The sequence below is a fragment of the Homo sapiens genome, chromosome 3, assembly GCF_000001405.40.
Source record: "Homo sapiens chromosome 3, GRCh38.p14 Primary Assembly".
NCBI classification, from domain to species: domain Eukaryota; kingdom Metazoa; phylum Chordata; class Mammalia; order Primates; family Hominidae; genus Homo; species Homo sapiens.
This window is the reverse complement of record NC_000003.12, coordinates 140253021-140274673: the sequence shown is the minus strand read 5'-3', so window position 1 is coordinate 140274673 and position 21653 is coordinate 140253021. Positions and strand designations below refer to the sequence as shown.

Genomic DNA, 21653 nt, shown 5'->3' with positions numbered 1-21653 from the left:
CTTCCCTCTCTCAAGATGCTACTTACACTAATGCTGGGAAACTGCCCACTCTGTGCGCCATCCCTGGACCTGGTGGACAACATGCCTGATGACCTGCCCTGTCTCAATTCTCCCAGTGCCCCGGACATCCAGGATTTTCAGAGCAGGTGAACATAACTCTTCCTACCTTTTTGTTCTATTACTGTCTGAAGATGCTGGCTCATGGTTGGCAACTTTACAAAATAAAACGGGGCCAATTTAAACAAATAATTAACATCAAGATTAGCTGAATGGACAGAGTTGGGGTGGCTTCCATCAGATTTTGGGGAGCTGGTCCAGCCTCCCTCATAAGCAGCAGGGGTCTGTTGTCAAGGTTGTCCTCAGTCAGAGCTCTTCCCAGGCACTCAGGATAAGCAATGCCAGAGCTCTCTGTCACTCTGTCATACTTTCTTATCTAGGAAGCAGAGTGTTAACCCATGTGGCCTTTCCTTAGTAGATGTATGGTTCATTCTGACCCTCCCATGAGGGGCACATGGGAGGAGCCAAAAGGCACCAAGCCCTGTGTGGTAAGATCAATGTTACCATGCCAAGTCTCCCAGGACACTGTCTCAGAGGTTATCATGTGCAGCAGGCAGGCTCTTCCTGGCTCTTTCCCTGGAGCCGGGAGGAGGCTGAGCTGTAACCTTTGCTTAACATATGTCACCTGAGGAGGATGATGGTCACATTCCTGTGGCTCTGTGCGTTCAACTATCAAACATCCCCTGTTGTTTTGTGAGCTGCTCCAGTCCTGTCCCCTTTGAAATTGAGCCAGGTCCCCAAAGAGCCATAGTAGGTAAGGACATTCTTTGTAGTGATATGAACTGATCAACTACAAAGTGCCTTCCTATGACTAAATTATTAGGATTCAACTTTTTGAAGGCTTTCCCAATGCTCTGACATCCACCACTATGAGTCAGTAGAGTGGGCGAGTTACCCTGAGGAATTGCTTCTGTTGGCTGACGAGGAGGCCCTTGCTGGGTTTTAGGAGAGGACAATCAAAAACTAGCATCCATTTAGGCACCAACTCTATACCAGGCCTTGGGGCTCTGACACGGTGGTTCACTTAACCACACAATGGCTTATACAGATGTTCCTCTGCACCTGATTATTATTATCCCTATTCATATGTGATAAAGAAAAATATAATTTCTGAAGTCATCCTGAGGCCACATGTAGCTGTGAAGCTTTCATTTCTTCAGCTCTAACATTGTTGTGAGAAGCAACTGAACATGGGAAAAGCATCTTGCAGCATGGTGGATGGTAAATATATATATTCTTATTTTACTTTAAGTTCCAGATACATGTGCAGAGTGTGCAAGTTTGTTATGTAGGTATACATGTGCCATGGTGGTTTGCTGCAACTATCAACCCATCATCTAGGTTTTAAGCCCTGCATGCATTAGGTATTTGTCCTAATGCTCTCCCTGCCCTTGCCCCCCACCCCCCGACAGGTTCCGGTATGTGTTGTGATAATGAATGTTTTTAAGAAGAGGGAAATGAGTATATCTTCCAACCCACAGGAATAAAAGTTTTTTATTCCTAGGGTGAGTCTGACTTCAAAGGTAAAGTCACTCTTTAGTAAGTTTGCCCTAAAAATGTGAAGAAGATGCTTCCCTCCTCTTGGGTGCTTCTTTGTCTGACTCTGAATATATCAAATGATCACTGAGTGACAGCGGCAAAGAGGACATGGGGATGGGGAATCTGAAACCCAAAATAATAATCACTGCAAGAGCTACTTCCTTCACATATTTCAAAACTAAGCCAGGACTGAAAGGAACATTGCCAATCACAACCTTCCTTAAAGATTTCATGATTTTCCCATCTAGTAATCAATACAATGAGGTGTAAAATACTGAATATTAAAGTTTAAATAGTCATTCTAATGATTATTATTATTATTTTTGAAGACAGGGTCTTGCTCTGTCACCCACGCTGGAGAGCAGTGGCACAAACTCGGCTCACTGCAACCTCTACCTCCTGGGTTCAAGTGATTCTCCTGCCTCAGCCTCCCAAATAGCTGGGATAACAGGTGTGCACCACCATACCCAGTTAATTTTTGCATTTTTTTAGTACAGACAGGATTTTGGCATGTTGGCCAGGCTGGTCTCGAACTCCCATCCTCAGGTGATCCACCCACCTTGGCCTCCCAAAGTGCTGGGATTACAGGCATGGGCCACCACACCCGACCAGTCATTCTAATTATTATAACCTTACTGATTGGCTATTGTATTCTAGGCACACTCTTTCCTATATAATCTATTTGTCTTCATATTTACACTGTGAGATATCAATTGCTGACTTTATTCACAGCATATGGCCATAGATTGCATGGTTACTCTGTGTCTGGCATAAAAGAGGAACAAACGGCAGCCAGCAATCATAGGTAACTTGCCCAAGGCCATTCAGCCAGTTTTGGAGGAGCTAGGCTGTGAGCCTAGATCTAGGTTGTTCAAAAACTGTTTTTTCCCCCAATATCCCTACATGATCTTCTAGGAATCTAGACACGAGCAAAATAAAAATAGAGAAGGTTGTCCTTTATCCAGCTTCTTTCTTGTATTGCCCCTTCTTGACACACACACACCAATTCCAGAATGGCAGAAAGTTAACGGCATTCATTTTGAGAAACTGCCCTGGTAGCTGCTCTAAACACCGCTATTATCACAACTGAGAAAGAATAGGACAGGAAGTTAAAGAATTCAGAATTGGGTTCTGTTTGTACTTCTATCATAGAAGCTCAGTGTTCATCGGCTTAAGCCAACACATTTTGCACATTAGCTGAGAACCTACACATCTGGTGTCTGCATTATACAAGCACATGTAGCGTGTGACTTTCACGAGCTTTCCTTGTTTTTAAAACTAGTTGAGTCCAGAAGCAGCTTCATGTGCTAATGAACACATAGTCTTTTTGCTATGGTCTGAATGTTTCTGTCCCTCTAAAATTCATGCATTGAAAGCTAATCACCAGGGTTATGGTATTAGAAGGTGGGGCCACTGGGAAGTGATTATGTCATAAGAGGGGGGTCCTTCTGAATGGGATTAGTGCCCTTATGAAAGAGGCCTGAGGGAGGTTGTCAGTCCCTTTTCTTCTTCCACCACATGAGAATACACAGCAGGTGCCATCTATAAGAAATGGGCCCTCACCAGACACTGAAACGCTGGCACCTTGATCTTGGACTTCCTGGCCTCCAGAACTGTGGGAAATAAATTTCTGTCATTACAAACAGAAATATTTGCCATGTACATAATACACTGGGGTAATCCCAGTGTTCGGTAACATTGTTATAACAGCTAAACAGACTGAGACACTTTTCAGTAGCATAAGTAATTAGCCTGGAGGGGAGGTGGGCTAACAGAGGCACACCAAATAATCTGCCACTTGCCCTTTCCTGCTTGAACACGAGCTGGCATTTGGGCTTCTGCCATCTCATGTGTCTGGGACCCTGGTGAGCAGAGGTGACCTCCAAGAGATTTTGAGATGAATGGTCACCGAATGCAATGGTGCTCTAAATCCATTTGACTGGGGAGCAATGATGCACCGAGCCATCAGCTGTTTGGTGAGCCAGTGCAAAGTGATTATGTGGCTCCCCGGGAAGGAAATCACCCAGAGACGCCGCTAAAGAATTATCTAGCAGGAGGATGTTTGGGAGTAATCCCTCTTAAATTACTCTGTTGCAAGACTATCCAATGGTGCTAAATTGTCTCCATGCTAGAATGAGAGGTCAAATGCAGACACCTTCCCAGGTCTGTTGGAGAAGCATGATGATAGGGAGGGAGCTGCAAGTCTTCCCTTGGGGCCACAGACTGCTCTGGACTACAGGTACCGGAGTTCTGCTACCAGCGACTAGGTAAAATTCATATGCTTTTCAAGAGAGAATAAAGCTCCAATACTTCTGTGGGTGTGAGGAAATTCGCCAGAAATGCTGAGTGTCCTTGTGGCACTTGCCACTTCCTGGACCACAGTTACCAATTGTAGATCCACAGACCTATAAGGTGAACCTGCTACCACCCTAGCATCCACAGCCCTCTTCCCCCATCCTCCTGTCTACACACAACCAGGCTCATATAGAGGATTCATGTTCTTACTGGTCCAATGTGTGAGTCATCTGGATGGGAGGCACTAGAGTTGCGGCCAGGTGACATGTGGTTTTCCATTCTTAGCTTGTTTCAGGCTTGTAAATTCTTCCCTAACAACCGGACGGCAGACACCTCCCAACCAGGGACCCTGTCTCATTTGTTACAAAAGTGGCTGACAAAGTGGTTGACAAAGCATCCTGTCTCCCACAGACACACCCAGGCAAATGAACACATGGCAGAGTGTGGTGGAACCCAGGCTCTGGGGCCAGGTGCATATGGGTGTGAGTCCACCTCCATCCTGGGTTCTCACATATCACTTGACTTCTTTGAGTGTACATCTCCTCACCTGTGTTAGGAGGTTCCAAGTATCACAGGTAAGAGGCAATGAATGAGGAGCCGTTAGTGGACACATAGTTAGTACTCCAATTAATGGTAGCCATCACATCCTCATTCACTAGGAAATTTCCTCAGCATGTTCATTCATCAAAATGGGCTTAATAGCATGTACTACATATATTGGCTTTGAGGCTTAAATGTAGCCCTGTCTTTAAAGATGGGAGCCCAGCAAACATTTGCTCAAGAAACTGGCCCGCTTTTCCTCTTTCTTGTTTTCTTTCTCTACCATCAAATCCTCACAAAACCTCATCAAATCCTCACAAAACCTCTCTGAGATAAGTGTAGTTATGATTGTCATTTTCCAAATGAGAAAGCTTCAGAGAGGTTATACAACTTAGGTGGGATCAGACAGCTAGTGAATAATGGAGCTGGGATTTGAACCTTGGAGTAATCCCTCTCTCAATACTCCTTCAAAATCCCCTGGGGTCAGAAGTACCCTGTAGGTGCAGTTTAGGAGCTACATCTCACACAGTCCCAACTTCCTATAACTTCCTATAAATAATGTGGTCCCCCATCGGTTCAAGAAGTGGGGCTATGCACACAGAGTTCACTCAATAATATCGAAAGCTTTTCTTTCCAGAAGGGGCTGTTTAATTACCTCCAGTTCTACCAATGTGCCACAGGCTTGGCCCTCTCTGTCCCACATTTGTGTTGAGCATTAGATTTCTGTTAATTAATACCAAGTCTAATCTTCTTTGATTACAAACATTGATTGTCGCTGAACTCTCAGCCATCCCTGCCAGCAGGTATGTATCTGAGTTCCAAAACACTCAGGCACCATCGTGCCAGGAGAAAGGTGAAATGAAACATTAAGCTGGGTTTATGGTCAATTTAATTAATGCAAATGTTCAGCTCGGTTCATTTGGCCCAATAATGTTTTCCAATAAAGCTATTGGGGACAAACACTTCTTGAGTGTTTATTTTCTATGTCCTCTTAAAGAAAATCCTGTTTTGCAAGAAACTGAGCAAGGTACCACCCAAAGGATACTATTAAGTTCCAACTTGTATCCATGGAAAATCTTCCTCTTAACTAAAGTTCTGAAAACAAGGAGTCTCTCAGTAAATAAGGAGTAAGCCTATGACTTGGTGTGGCTGATGGTAAAAGGTAGATGTGAGAGAAGCAAGAAGACAAGAGGCACTATGGAATGTTAACTCACTAGGAGATTTATTCAAGACGTCCCTGATCAATTAATAAACAAATCTCTACTGAATAACAATATTTAACTTCTATATAGAGCCTTCCAGGGCCCAGAACACCACTACCTACATTATCTCATTTGATTGCCGATCACAGCAATCAAGGTAGGTGCCTTATAGTTTCTATCCTGTACACAGAGGAAATGAGACTCTGAGAGGGCAAGTGGGTTGCGTAATGTTGTACAGCATCAAAGCCAGGACACAGATTATATACTGCCACTGCCCACTGCCAACTATACCATGTACAGTTGTGCAGGTTGCACCCTGCACAAGGACACTGGACACTCCAGTGCTTCACTAGCTAAGTCAGCACTGTGGCTGGATACTGAGTTAGCCAGGAAGGAGAATGGAACCTCTTCTCCTAATTTGCACAATGACACCTCTGTTTGTCAAGCCAAATTTTTGTGAGTGATGTTTTGCCTGGGAAAGCTATCATTTTCTAATGTGCCCCAGAGTGCCACATGAAAGCTCACAACACCCAGTCCTGCCTGCCTGTGTCCTTGCACATCAGATCTATTATAGCACCCATAACACTATAAAGTGTATATGTTTTTCCATAGGCAAGCTCCTGCTACAGATCTTCCTGAACTTCCTCAGAGGAAAGACTGAGCTTCAGTCACTTCTATGTCCCCAGCCCAACAGGGGGTGTTGTACTGCTGGACGAATGATTGGTAAAAGGGCTGAGTGAAAGAATGCATGCACACACATCCACTGCTCCTTTCTCTACGTACTCCTGGCCCAGCCCTCTGCTGGATGATTCCTCCCTCTTCTGAAGGCCCAGAGTCCTTCTCAGAACCTTCTTATTGGGTCTCAGAGTCATCTGTGCACTTATGAGACTACTATTACTAGGCAGTAGGCTATGTGAGGGCAGCCAGCGGTTCACCCCGATAGCTCTTTTCGCCTCCAAGCTCAGAGCTTGGCACTAAATGTATTTCCCTCCTTTTTTCCTCTGCCTCCAATTCATTCCCCATTTTATGTAGCCTGTGTTTAAAGATAAATGATAAGCTTATATAACAGGAGCTAATGGATGTCAATGTGGGTATAATATCATTTCACAGAATCAGAGTCCAAGAATAGCTGTGCCTTCTAGGAATTCAGTCTTCCGAGAATTCTCTCCAGGCTTTTCTGCTCACAGTTATATCCTTCCTAAGCTGGAGTTCTGAGCCATACCACAGTTCCCACCTTTCCAAGTTTCAGTGCAAATGTAATGTTGAGGTAGCAAAAAGATGGCACAGCTCTCCCTCAGGCCAACCAAACTAGAAATCACTGAGGTTTTCCCCTTGTATTTTCAAAGATTCCCTGTCTCCTGGCCTGGGGCACAGCAAAACTTCTGGGCTTGTGTCTGAAAGAGGCAACACAGTGGTTTTAAACAGCCCGGTCTCTGAGAATATAACTATATACCTATTTGGCTAAAGATGTGTTCACCTATTTTCAGGTCCTTTCAGTAATTGCTATTGCCTGTATCTCTCTCTTTGCTTTGGCAAGGTTTGGCTTTTCTCCCTAATCTTCAATGTTCCTTCAATATCCATAGACTTTCATCTTGCCCTGAAACCTGGGGATTTGCAGTAGACCAAGGAATTGGAGTTTGTGGACTGAGACTGTTAGACTAGGACAGAGGCATTCTACATCAGAGACACCTTACAGAGTAGTTTTAGAGAGTGGGCTTGCTCCAAAATCTCATTTCTCTGTATTTTCTCCTCAAGCTGCATTCTCCTCATTCTGCTTTTTAAGGAAAGATATGAGGTTTTAAATGGATGATAGGAACTCACAAAACCTTGGTGGGTTAAGAGGAGGGACCAACACAGTATAACAAACAGGAAGATACACACTTTCTCCCAACTACATACTCCGCCTGGGAACCTGGGAGGAACATGGTCCATTCTTCACCCACCTAAGGATTCCCAGGTAGACCTGGTTTCCAAATCTTGCAGCTTTAATCCAGGAATAAAAAACACAGGTCTCACTTGTCCCATTTCTCTCTGCCAGCACTCATGGCAGACATTGCTAACAGATCATGATACTGTCCTCTACTGAGCCAATTTCAGCCTTAGCATTCTTTCTAACAAAGCATTCCAGACAACAACTAACAACCAGAGTTGGCACATAAAATGCCATAGCTCTTTTCGTGCTTGCCATGTAGCCAAGGACAAATTGCTGATTAACACCATGGCCAGGTGGAACAACCAATGGACCCACGGCTTGGGTCTCTATTTAAACTTCCTGTGATCATGATCACTTAGACTAATCAAGATCTTTGTGTTTTGACCATTAGTCCAACAATAGTTTTTCTGAGGTTTAATGCCTGGCATAGACAAGGTGGATGAAACCAAAACATACCAGTGGAAATTCAGGCACATTTTTTCATTTATTCAGCTTCAACTCGCGGCAGAACAACCTATTTAAAGCTAATGATGAGCTTTAGGAATAGATAGGTAAACAGAATACCAGTGATGCATCTTTGAATAGCTCTCCAGTAGCTGAGAATTGGAAATGTCCTTTAAGCCTTCACATAATGTGGCTGTGAAGCAAGGCATTCCTTAAACTTGAAAGGGAAATTGGAATATCCTATCTTAATTTTATAAGAACATCAAGACAACCACTACTATCTTATAATATGAATTCTTTCAAGTTTTCTTTTGTTGTTTTGGATCTCACTGTTCCTGTGGGATTTCTAATGTTGCTTTACTTTGTTTCATTTTCTGCTCATTTATGCTTTTTATTGGTTTCATTCGCCTATATGGGTAAGAACTTTGGAGCTTCCACTCAAGGTATAGCATCTTCTCTCCATTCCCTCCAGCCATCAGGGTAATCACAGGATAATGGGGGGTGTGCCAATACTGAGTGCAGAGAGAGATCAGACACAGGATATGGGAATTCACCCTCAGCAATCCAGCACCTCTGTTTCAGATGTTGAGCTATTGAAGGCTGTCAGGTGCAGTACTGGAAGGTTTGTTAGGGCACCCACGAATCACAGTGGGTCTGTCCTTAGCTGGCTGAGCTGAGGCCATGTAGTGATGATGTCTGCACCAGCTACAACTATGCAGTGAGGGATCCAAGAACCCTAGACCCTCATTTTCCCAGTGCAGGGATGCTTTCTGAATTTATCGGATCATATCACAAGAGGAAGACTCACACTGACACAAATGCCTCTATCTGCCTAGTTTTTCTAGGCCGCCAGCCCTGAGTGTCCCTTTGATATGTAATATTCTTGCTGACTTACAAACTTCCCTCTTCAGGAGCTCTGTGTGGGAGTGGGAATAATGATGAAAATCTGGCCCTTACCTAAGAAAACTCAAAGCACTGATGGTTTTACTTTTTTCCAGATAAAACTGGCTTTTATTTCATATCAACAGCAGGAGAATCACTGTTAAAAGTCAATGCTGATGGAAAGTACATTGAAACTGCGCTTAATCACACTCAGTGGGGATAGGCCATCCAGAGTGATTATCTTTTTTGACAAAAGCTTGTTTTCTTAAAGGCTGGCCTCATGGGGCCTCTGACAGCCCACGTACAGCTGTGGTTTAGAACTCTGATTCCAGGGGGTCTGGGTAGTCTCAGAGTCTCTGAGCCTTCTCTCCTCTGCTGAGAGGTCGTTAGGTCATGCCTTCTCTCTTCTACTACTGTCGAAGCCTCCAGAGGTGTGACTGGCTTTGGGGCTCCTCCTCCGGGCTTTCTCAGCCCCCCTGTGCATTGCCAGTAGAGAACACCTGCAACTTGGAATTGTTCTTGTCTTGTTTCCACATCTGTCTCCCCAGCCATAAAGGGCAGTGTAGATGCATGGTTGAGGGCCTGAGTATTCTTGGCTTCACTGTTTGGGCCCAATTCCTGGTTCTTCCACATACCAAATGAATTCAGGCAAGTTATCTGACCTCAGTGACTTCCTCTAAAAATAACAACAGTAATAGTACCTCCTCGTAGGGTCATTTTGCAGATTAAATGGACAAATGTGTATAATGCACTACAGCAATGGCCAGCACACACTCAATACTTTATGTGCTGGGGGTTGTGAAGGAGGGAAGGATGAAAAACTATGAGCTCCTTCAGGGCAGAGACCTGTGCACATCATTTCTATAATCCCAAGATCTAGTCTGGCACAGAGAAAGCACTCAATAAATGTGTTGGAAGCACACTTGTACTCTTAGATCTACCCCACTGGCCTAATTCTCAATTAATAGTCATTGTTCAATGAAAATCATCATTTTTTTCAGCTGTCCTAAAAACCCCTGAGCAATTCTCACTCTGCTCTCTCTGTCCCATGCTCCTGGGCCACTTACCAAAGAGGCTTGAGATTATCTCTTGACAATGAAAGGCAATGTAAGTGAATCCTCCTCAAAGGAAATCATTATCAACTATAGCCAGTTCTTGCTATTTGCAGCAGTTATGGTCTATAAAGGTGCTGCAAAGACTGAATTAGCAAATATTGAACTATCACTTGGAGGGAAATACAGGGTCAAGCATCTTCATGTCTCCGGTTATGATATTTTTGTCAACCGATCATTATATACCTTGTTTTATGTCACTGTTGCATTATGTGTGTTCCTGTTTAAAGATGCCTAATTTTATATATATATATATATATATATATATATATATATATATATATATATATATATTTGATTCATTAACCTTGAACTCACAGCAACAGCTCTGTAACTCATGCCTGAACTAAGCTTACCTGACACATGCTTTTCTCCAGAAGGCAAATCACAGCCTTCTTGTACTTAGAAACACAAGACAGTGTTTCAGTACTATGCTTGGGAGGCCATTTTAAACAGCAAAATCATCAACAAAAAGTATAAAAGTGAAAAACATGTGGCACTAAATAGACCAGGAAAAGGACATTTATTTACAGTATGAGAGATGGAAACAAAAAGCCAGAGCATCACCTCGTTTGACCTCAGCTGGGAACAAACACATTGTTGGGTACCTTAAATTTTTCACCACTCTGCACATGCCTACAAATAACTGTGAAAACACCCAAGTTTGATAGTGAGAGTACAGATAATTTATAGTAAGTAGGCTAATTCACAAATATTTGTAAATAATGAACACTGTGTATGATTATACAATAGGGAATGAAAATATTAAATATGGTACTTATAACAAATGCCTGGAGGACTTCAGCTCCAGTTGTTTTCAGACTATCAAGAGTTCAACTGTAAACTTTCTTTCAAGGATGTTTCTCCCTACTGGAATTACCAATAAGTAATTAATATGAATATTTTTTTGTTTTAATAAGGACCCAATTTTATAGAAATTGAATACATAGGTTGAGCTAGTTGTTCTAAGTCACTGGACACAAAGACATTTATTTACCTGCAGCCAAACAAGAAAAAGGGAAGAGATGTAAGTTTTTTGGGGAGCATCTACTCTGTAGTACAAATAATATTTGGTACTATGCATATGTTTCATTAAATCTGGTTAACTGGTAATTAGGCTCCCTGTTTTTCACAGATGAAGCTACAAAGACTTCATTGCCCAAAGCTTAGGGCCCTCCTTCTAGAGCAATACACCCCACAACCTGCCTGAGTGAGCAACCAGTGAACCCCATGGGGGTGAGCCAGTGGCCAACCTCTTCCACATCTTCCAGCTGGGTGCCTGTAACCCATTAGGACCAATCCCACCATTCCACATGGCCCTGATTACTTCAGCCCAAGTGTCCCACCTCATCTCTTATCACCCTCACTAATCTCCACATATAGGTCCCCTACATTTCCTAACATGAACCAAGTTCCCATTCTCCCAAATATTTCCACAGTTGTTTCTGCAACTGGAGGTTTTGTCAGTACTTGACCATCATATATCCTTCACTTCTCTGAATAACCCCTTCTTTTTCTTCCTCTGACTAAGCCAGGCTATCCTCTGAGGACACTACTTCCCTTGCAGTCTTCTCATTGGGTAATGTTTTTTTGTTTGCTTGCTCTTGGGGGTTTTTTTGGGGGGGATGTGGGGAACGGTCAAGTACCTCAGGAACACTCCAAACCATTTGTTCTTCTTCAAAAATCCTGGCTCATTTCAAGTTCATCCTGCAAATCTGAATAACTCACTGTCCTCCTTGTGTTTCCTCCATTGACCTCCCAGTGATCCCTTTCTTTCTCTGAAGAGGTCCGGTCCTGGCTTACCATTTTCTTTGCCATACTTCTTACTGTCCCCATTCTTCATAATGTCAACATTCTACTGGAGAATCTGTCCTACATCCTGGGCTCTTTGTTGACTGCTTCCAGACCAAAAACCTTTACTCTCATCATTTCCCAGCCACTCATTCTCATGGCCATACCAAAGGTCCTATCTTCCCTGAAAACTGCACTACCTTCATAATGTAGATACCAGTCAGTCTTCTCTTATTGCACCATCACCTGAAATTCCACTTCACTTTCTTTACTAAAACAATTACCACTAATCTATGGGCCCCATGAAACATATAATCCATTCATCTTGCCACTTTTTCACTCCCCATCAACAATATTACTTCTTCACATTCACTTTCAACCAGTTAGAGTTCATAATTCATCATAAAAAATAATTTCATTTCGAACATCTTTAACTTTCTTACACTCCTCTCTCTTTTACCTCAGGCCAAACAGCACCCATGGATAAGCCCTCTCTTGTGCCATGCCTGCCCCTGGGCAGTTGAACATGCTGGGAAAGCCATTGAAAGCCATGCTGACTGGCATCCTATGGGTGGAACAATGTCTTCATTCCTCTGGAAGGCCAGCTTCACCACTCACATGCTGAGCTTGATTGCCAACCACCAGCTACTCTTGCTTCTAGTTTATACTTTTTTTCATATTCTACTGGCTCATTTCCAGCAGCACATAAACATGCTTATAAACACAGTAAATATAAACACAAAACCCTGCCAAGGTTCTATTGTAATCTCATTTCCCAAATCAAAAAACTAAGCTTCAGGAAAGTTAAGAAACTAAACTAAGGTCACACAGCTAATTGAGCAGGACAGGACAACTCTAAAATCTGTACTTTTTATGGCATCATACTAATTAGCCTGGTGGTAAGATTGACCTTGAAATAATTCTCAGTATTAATGATAACTGGCAGATCAAGCTCCAAAAACATTTTGGTAGCTAAGATAAGCCATAAAAAAATAGAAGGTGGGCATTAAGTAAATTAATGGTGGATGTTAGGAACCAGGTCTCCTACTGTTGGAGAGCTTACAGAGAAGCAAGAGAAGGTGGCTACAATGATCCATGTGTTAGTGCATTAGAATGGAAGACATCAGTACAAACTCATGTTTAGCTTATAGACGCAGATAGTAACACACACACACACGTACAATATGTAGATATGTATATAACAGGCTAGTATACATAGTAAACATTTCTCACCTTGTCAATTGAGAGAAAATAGAAGCAATGATTCCCTAGTAGCAGCAAGTACACGTAGCACCCAGCTCTTGGTTTCTAATACCAGTCTCCAATAAAAAGAACCAGGGCTCCTTGGAGAAGCAGTTTATTCTAAGACTTGGGTAGGGAATACAGAAGATGAGCCTGGAGTATCTTGCGGTGCCAAAAAATAAAGAAGTGTTCAATAAAACCCAAAAACCAAAAGACAGTGATGGGGATATATTAAAGGGAAACAGGAGCCAAATAAAAATGTCTCCCATGGCCATAGCTGTTAACCATCTAAGCAACAGTGTAAAATAAAGTAGTACTGAATTATAATCCAAACTATTAAATAAATATCCATGAATCAATACTGGCAAAAATAAATGATTAAATATAGAAGGAAATGAAGAACAGACAAATCTCCTGGGCAGAAACATTACAAATAATTTATGTAAATATTCTTCCCTCAAGAAGGTAATGCATAACCCCCAAGAAGGTGTGGGTTATGTATAGTCATTTCCAAACACTGTATTAAGAAAAGAGGGCAGGGAAAAATGAGTAACTTTATAGCGAGGAGACCTAACAAACACTTCCTGAGCCAGACGACCTAGTTTAACAGCAATGGTAGTAAGTTATGATGATATTACATATCCTTTACTTAACATGATGAAAAGGGGTACCTCACCCCTGTGGTTTTACTCTCATAACCCATAAACCAGTTTTTACCATGAGAAAAACTATCAGATAAATTCCAATAAGGGACACCCTACAAAACACCTGACTGAGCAAAACTTCTCAAAACTGTCAGGGTCACCAAAAGAAGGAAAGCCTGAGAAACTACTACAGCCAAGAGAAGCCTAAAGAGATATGGCAACTACATGTGATATGGTAGCCTAAGTGAGACCCTGGAACAGAAAAAGAACATTAGAAAAACATTAATAAAATCTAAATAAACTATAGACGTTAGTTGATAATAGCGTATCATTATTAGTTGTAATTAATGCATCATACTACAGTAAGCTATGAATAAAAAAACTGGATATGGGGTATATGAAAACTGTACTGCCTTCTCAATTTTTCTATAACTCTGAAATTGTTCTAAAGTCTAAATCAATGTAATTTACCATATTAACAGACTAAAAAATAAAAACCATATAACTTTTTATATTAGATGTAGAAAAATAATTTGACAAAATCCAGTACCCTCCTTTAGGAGCAGTTGGGCTGTTAGAAAACTCTTAGGAAACTAAAAATAGAAAAAAGATTCCTCAACCTCATAAAGAGCGTCTGGGAAAACCCTACTTCTAATATCATACTTAATGGTGTAAGACACAGTGATAGTTCCTAAGATCAGGAAAAAGGTAAGAATGTCTGCCCTCACCATTCCGTTTAACCGTTCTCAAGGTCCTGAAGATAGTGTAATATGGCAAGAAAAGAAATAAAATACATTTATTTTAATTTTGTATGGTGTACAGTATTTTATATATAATATATATATATATATATATATTTCTTTTTCACCTTTTATTTTAGGTTCAAGGGGTACATGGGCAGGTTTGTTACATGGGTAAATTGCATGTCACTGGGATTTGGTGTACAACTGATTTCATCACCCAGGTAGTGAGCATAGTACCAGAAAGTTTTTCAACCCTCATCCTCTTCCCACCCTCCACCCTCAAGTAGGCTCCTGGTGTCTACTGTTCTCCTGTTTGGGTAAAAGATATTTTTATTAGAACAAAGTACACAGATCTGTCTTTATTAATAGACCACCTCATCTATGAACAAATAATTCAGGCATATCCATACAATGGAATATTACTTATCAATTAAAAAAATGAACTCACCTATCCTAAAACATGGATGAATCCCCAAATTATGATGCTGAGTGAAAGATGCCAGAATATATAGTGTATAATTACATTTATATAAGATTTTGGAAAATAGAAAATAATCTATAGGGTCAGAAATCAGATCATTAGTTGCCTGTCGGGTAGATGGGGTTTGAAAAGGTGGGAGGGAAGGCTTACAAAGAGGCAAGGGAAAACTTTTCAGGATATAGGTGTGTCATCTTGATTGTGGTGATAGTTTTATGGATTTGTACAGGAATGTCAAAACTTATCAAATTGCATACTTTAAATATGTGCAGCTTTTTTTGTTTTGTTTTGTTTTTTGGAGATGGAGTCTCACTCTGTTGCCCAGGTTGGAGTGCAATGGCGCAATCTCAGCTCATTGCAACCTCTGCCTCCTGAGTTCAAGTGATTCTCCTGCCTTAGCCTCCTGAGTAGCTGGGATTACATGTGCCTGCCACCACACCTGGCTAATTTTTGTATTTTTAGTAGAGACGGGGTTTCATCATGTTGGCCAGGCTGGTCTCGAACCCCTGATCTCAGGTGATCCACCCGCCTTGGCCTCCCAGAGTGCTTAGGATTACAAGCGTGAGCCACCGCACCCAGCCCGTGTGCAGCTTTTTTTTTTCAATCAATTATTCTTGATAAAGATTTAAAGAAAAAAATTAAAATTTTGTCTTTTAAAAAAAAATACATGGAGGCTAAGATAAAAGTATAAAAAGGATTGATCCAAATGTGTGAGTCAAGAGCATGGTATAGACACCAAACTTGGCATGTTTTACTGCCAAAAATATGTCCATGTATTGCTGTGTCTGCTCCACATAAGCAGTCATGATGTTATATACCTATACATGACTTACATATCTGCATATATACATGATTTTCCACACTGGGAAAGTAGATATTGTAAACAGGTTTTGAAAATAAAGATAATTCCACAGATGTCTCTTTTTAAGTACACCCTGTCATCAGAGAGTTTTACAATCATATGGCAAGTGTCTGATAATTATATGGCCAGTGTCAGAATGATGGAAATTTCCAACATATTGTTAAAACCCGAAGAGGTCTTGTGCCCCATAAAAAACGGTTCAAAGATATTAAGATGAAGTTTCCACAAAAGACATTAAAAGAGGGGGGAAAAGATTAATAAGAAGGAAGTTATAGAATTTAACTGCAAGTAGAAAATTTATCCTTCCTTCAGCTTTGAGCAAATACATATCACAGCAGCAAATGGGAAATGACACACTTCCTATCAAAAACATGACTTCTCATTCTCATTGTGACACATTCACTGCTTTTCCAAGGATTTGACTAAGGAGAGCCAGAAGATGAAAAAGAGAAAGACAAATGAATTGGAAATGACCTTTTCCATTATCTACGGCCACATGAAGGAAATAATGCCTTCCCAAAGCCCGGCCATGGATTAGCTGTCAAATTAAAAACCTGTGTATAAATATTTGACCCAAGCACAAAGTATTAAAGTAACTTCAGCTACATATGTCTCTAAGAAAGTCAATGCGCATCTGGAATTAGCAAATTGGAAGATGGAAGTTTCCACAAAGGGCTTCCTTTGCTTAATCCTAAGGTCTGTTTAAATAACTTTACTAAAGGGAGGTTAGCACAATAAAAGCGGGCTGAAAAAGCTATGAAGATAGAATGTGTAAAAAAGAAAATTAAAAATGCCATTAAGCCTTAGGAAAAATGCTCAATCATTAAAGAATAACAAATTAAAACAGAAATGAGATAATTTTGCCACCAAGATAGAAAAAATAATACATAATAACATTTAGTATTGGCAGGATTTCATGAAAGGAAAGGTAACTGAACACAGTTAGTAGAAATGCAAAATGACAACTCTGAAAAGAATATATGTGAAGAGCCTTAACTATGTTTATATCTTTTGACCCAGTTATTTGTCTATTGGGACTTTATCTTAAGGAAAGAATCTGAACTAGAGATTGATCTTTGAGCACAAAAAATCATGACAATGCCATTTTTAATATTTATGTTTATATCAGCAAAGTTTAGAAACAACCTACATGCCCAGCAGAATTGTTAATTAAATTATGACACATCAATGTGTCAGAACAGTTTGCAACCATTAAAAACACATTTTCAAGACATTTTTAATGACCGAGAAATTCTTTAATATTATACGGAAAAATAATTGTGTACATAGAATGTGATCTCATAGCAGACACACACACACACACACACACACACACACACACACACACCCCTAGAAAGAAATAGGCAGGGAATACTAACAGTGCTTACTGCTCTTTCCCAGTGAAAATACTGGTTATTTAAATTTTCTTCTCTATAAATAACTGAACAATAGTCAATTTAAGATAGAAGAAGATGCTGTCATAACACATGTGATCCATAGCCAATTTTTCTCTATCACTTTCTCCAAATACAAGACTTTTTTCATTACATGGGCAGGCTGTGTTACTGTTGCTTATGTCTTGTCCACAGTGTCATGATTTTCCACTTTTCACCTAAATACTTTTACTTATTAGATAAATTTAATCCCCTAAATGATCTCCAGAGACTTTTCCACATGTAGCATGCACCAAGGGCTATTTATGGAGCATACATTTAATTATTGTAGGGGCCTTCATTAGCATAAAGCATATTTGCTTTACAAGTTTGAAGGTGATCCTTAATATCCCTTTTCAGTCACTCTGGTGAACACTGATTCAGTTTCATGAACAAATTTGTTTTTTAAAAAAATATTAAGTGCCCATTCAAAGTGCTGGGATTACAAGCGTGAGCCATCGCGCCCGGCCTATGTATGCCTTTCTATACACACATTGCTCTCCTGTGTTTTAAGTTTGTCTTCCCAGCCAGACTTCCCAGCATAGAGTTAGCATAGAGCAAACAAGTGCCTAGTGTGCACTGGCTTGGAAAGACTGCTACTTCTTGAATCAGAATGTAAATTTAAAAAACAAAAACCAAAAAACCTCAATGCATTATAAACGTTATGCAATGGTCCTGATGATATTTTAGTTAATGATATTTATTGGGCTGTCTTTCTGTTGAACCGAATCAAATAGAAGTCTCAATCAGAAATTTTTTATCCTGGGGACACCCCAGTTCAAAAAGGAAGTACCATAAAACCTTGAGGAACACTCCTTTCCTAGAATGTCAGGTCCAAATATGTTCTTCTGTGATGTAAAGTGGGGATGACAGAGAATGGAAATATCAATCTGAAACTAATTCTGAAGGTTGCCAAGGTAAACAACTATTTTTGAGGCCCTACTCTGTGCCAGGCATAGCAATGGCATTTTCTCATTTTATCTCATTAAATCTGCACAAATAACCCAGTGAGGTGGATGTGCTGATATTCCTTTTATAAACCTCAGTGAAGTGAAATATCAGACTTCCACCATAGGTTGGAACAGTCTGCAACCATTCAAAGACATATTTTCCACAGGGGACTAGTTTGATCATGAATGAAAAAACACAGAATTCCATAGGTTGCTTTTTGGGGCAGTGTGACTCAAAAGGTAGTTTAATGTCTAAATGTTAGGCAAACATCAAAGAGAGATGGGCATCTACATTTTGAAAGGAGGGGCCCCAATCTTTAGGAAAGTAGTGGGGTGAAGGATGGGAGAGGAGGCTGCATGGATGTTTTGAAGAAAGGCCTCTCTTGTTCTTCAGCTGCCATACCTAGGACTAACCTTGACCTAGAAATAGCTTTATTATCTCACACTATCCATGACCCTCACATCAGAAAAATGTGGGAAAAGGGAATATTTGGATTGGCAGAGGCGTGGCTTATACACACAAAAATCAATTTGTTAGATTCAGCATTTGAGGATCGTAGTATTCCAAAATGTCCTGGGTTATGTAGATAGAGCCAATAATTTCTGTCCTCAAAGCTTGTGCTAGAGTTGAAAAAAGTGTCAGCACCCTGGTTATATGTCCAGTTTCTAAGGATCAAGAGGCATAGGATCAACAAGCCCTAGACATTTCTATGCCTAAATTTAAAAAAATTCCTTTTTAGTAAAATTCTTTTTTTTCCAACTTTTATTTTAGGTTCAAGGGGTATATGTGCAGGTTTGGTATATGGGTAAATTGCATGTCATGGTCATGGGGGTTTGGTGTACAGGTAATTTTGTTACACAGATAATAGCCTAATACCCAAAATGTAGTTTTCATTCCTCACTCTCCTCCCACCCTCCAACCTCAAGTAGGTCCCAGTGTCTATTGCTGCCTTCTTTGTGTCTACGTGTACTCAATACTTAGCTCCCACTTATAAGTGACAACATGCAGTATTTGGTTTTCTGTTTCTATGTTAAGGACATGATTTGTCGTTTTTTATGTCTGTGAAGTATTCCTCTGTGTATATGTACCACATTTTCTTTATCCAGTCCACTGTTGATGGGCATCTAGGTTGATTCCATGTCTTTGCTGTAGTGAACAGTGCTGCAATGAACATACACTGCATGTGTCTTTATGGTAGAATGATTTCTTTTCTTTTGGGTGTATGCCCATATGTGAGATTGCTGGGTCAAATGTTAGTTCTCTTTTAAGTTCATTGAGAAATCTCCAAACTGCTTTCCACGATGGCTGAACTAATTTACATTCCCACCAGCAGCGTATAAGCATTCCCTTCTCTCCACAATCTCACTAGCACCTGTTATTTTTTTGCTTTTAAATCATAGCCATTCTGACTGGTGTGAGATGGTATCTCATTCTGGTTTTGATTTATATTTCCCTAATGATTACTGATATGAAGCAATTTTCATGTGCTTATCAGCCACATGTATGTCTTCTTTTGAGAAGTGTCTGTTCATATCCTTTGCCCATTTTGTAATGGGGTTGTTTTTTGTTTGTTGATTTAAGTTTCTTATAGATTCTGGATATTACACCTTTGTTGGATGCATAGTTTGCAAATATTTTCCCCCATTTTGTAGGTTGTCTGTTTACTTGTGCTGTGCAGAAGTCTTTAGTTTAAGTCCCTCTTGTCAATTTTTGTGTTTGCTGCAATTTCTTTTGGAGTCTTCATTATAAAATTTTTCCAGGACTGAGGTCCTAAATGGTATTTCCTAGGTTTTCTTCTAGGGTTTGTACAGTTTTAGATTTTACATTTAAGTCTTTAATCCATTTTGAGTTGATTTTTATATATGGTAGAAGGAAGGAGTCCAGTTTCAATCTTCTGCATCTGTATGCCTAAATTTTCTCACTGTAAACTGTAGATAATGGTCTCTGTCCTTCCTCATTAACAGAGATGACAGAGATGAGGACCACATAGGATACACACACAGGCTCTTCATAAATTTAAAATTGTTAAAAATCTCTAAGTTTCTTCAGCTATTTTTAATCCTAGCCTTTGAAATTTCATAAATGACATGGTTCTGCTTCCCATAAAAATGTACAAATGCACATATGCAAATATACACACAATTACTTTAGAGAGTTCATAGAACCCTGAAGTCACCATGAAGCCTAGATTGAGAGCCATTCTTATAAATTTGTTTGGGAAACTCTCCTAAAAGTACTTTCTCTGGTGCAGAATCCCCTCACTCATATATGTAATGATTTTTTCTTCTTGCAGGAAGCAAAAATTAGTAATTTGACTATTTCTTATAACTCTTTAAAGTTTGCAAGGATCTGCATCTCTTCTCAGATTATGTCATGTATGTGCAATGGAAGTCGAGAACATGAGAAGTCTGCAAATATTTTGTAAAGAGTCTCTCCTTCCTATGTTATTATTTCTACAAAAGAACAGAGAGAAATATGACCAAATTAGGTAAGGGACCCACAATTTTTACCCCAAGGAAAATTCCAAAGGAGGCAAAACATGACTTCCTGACCCCTGTGAAATGTCACCCAACTGACCCCAACAAAGGCCTTCTCAGGGCTTTGAGCACAGCCCTAACAGTTCACACACATCACTAAGCAGCCCTTGGGAGCTCCAGAAGTGTCACTCAATCAAGGAATCCCACAAGTCTTAGAGGACTAAATGGCAAGAACCATATCTGGATGGTACTGTAACTGTAAGAGAAAAAAAAAATAAAAAAGACCGAAACCCTTTGGTGGGTTCCTGTCTCCTGGGATCCTGAACTTTCTATCTCATTATAATTAACAGAATTAGGCCCAGGTATGTCCCAGAGAAGGGAGCCAGGCCTGTTTTGGCAAATAAAGAAACAGGTCTTCCACTTTACCTTTCTGGCTGTGTTTTCTATCAGTACACTCTTCCGTGTCAGGAAAGGCTGGAATGCTGACATGTCAGGGGCCTGTGCTCATACTTTCCCTGCCTGCACTGTGCTGTTTTTGGGTTTTTAAAGTGGATTATAAAAGAGCAATTATACAAATTTGATTACGTAATATCATAAACAAATGTAGTTGCTGCCAACACTAATTAAGGAACGTCAGACTCCTCCAGTGCCACATGCACAGTAGATGGAGTTCAGAGGAGCTGACAACAGGTTTTCTGGGGATGGAGAAAGCTCCTGTGGTCCACCTTCGGAGCCATGGAAGAACCTGGCAGTGACCGCAGCAGGACCCAACACGCTGACCTTGACTAGCCCCTACCTTCCTCCTCCTACTCCTGCCCGTGACCACAACTAGCTGACTCAGTCTTTGCAGCTGTAACTTTGTAACCTAGAATCTGTCTCCTACTCTCTATCCCTCTGCCTTGACCTTAGGTAGGGCTCCCACTGTCTTTTGCCTGGTGTACCTGGTCTACACAGGCAGCCAGATTGATCCCAGTGATCGAACTTACACATATTTCAACAGTCTTCTTAGGTACACATGCACATTTGGC

At 40.6% G+C, this 21653-nt stretch overlaps 1 protein-coding gene across 2 annotated transcripts in view, besides 1 other annotated feature; it reads right to left on the bottom strand.

Annotated features, from left to right (window-relative positions):
• Nucleotides 1-21653, bottom strand: part of CLSTN2 (calsyntenin 2) — a 642213-nt gene that overhangs the window by 302724 nt on the left and 317836 nt on the right. The gene's annotated exons all lie outside the window — the stretch shown is intronic.
• Nucleotides 8834-9335: an enhancer, noted in NCBI's record as "NANOG hESC enhancer chr3:139984181-139984682 (GRCh37/hg19 assembly coordinates)". NCBI's record gives its function as "activates a minimal SCP1, AML or CMV promoter by ChIP-STARR-seq in primed H9 embryonic stem cells {active_cell/tissue: H9 hESC(primed)}" and the evidence as "EXISTENCE:reporter gene assay evidence [ECO:0000049][PMID:30033119]".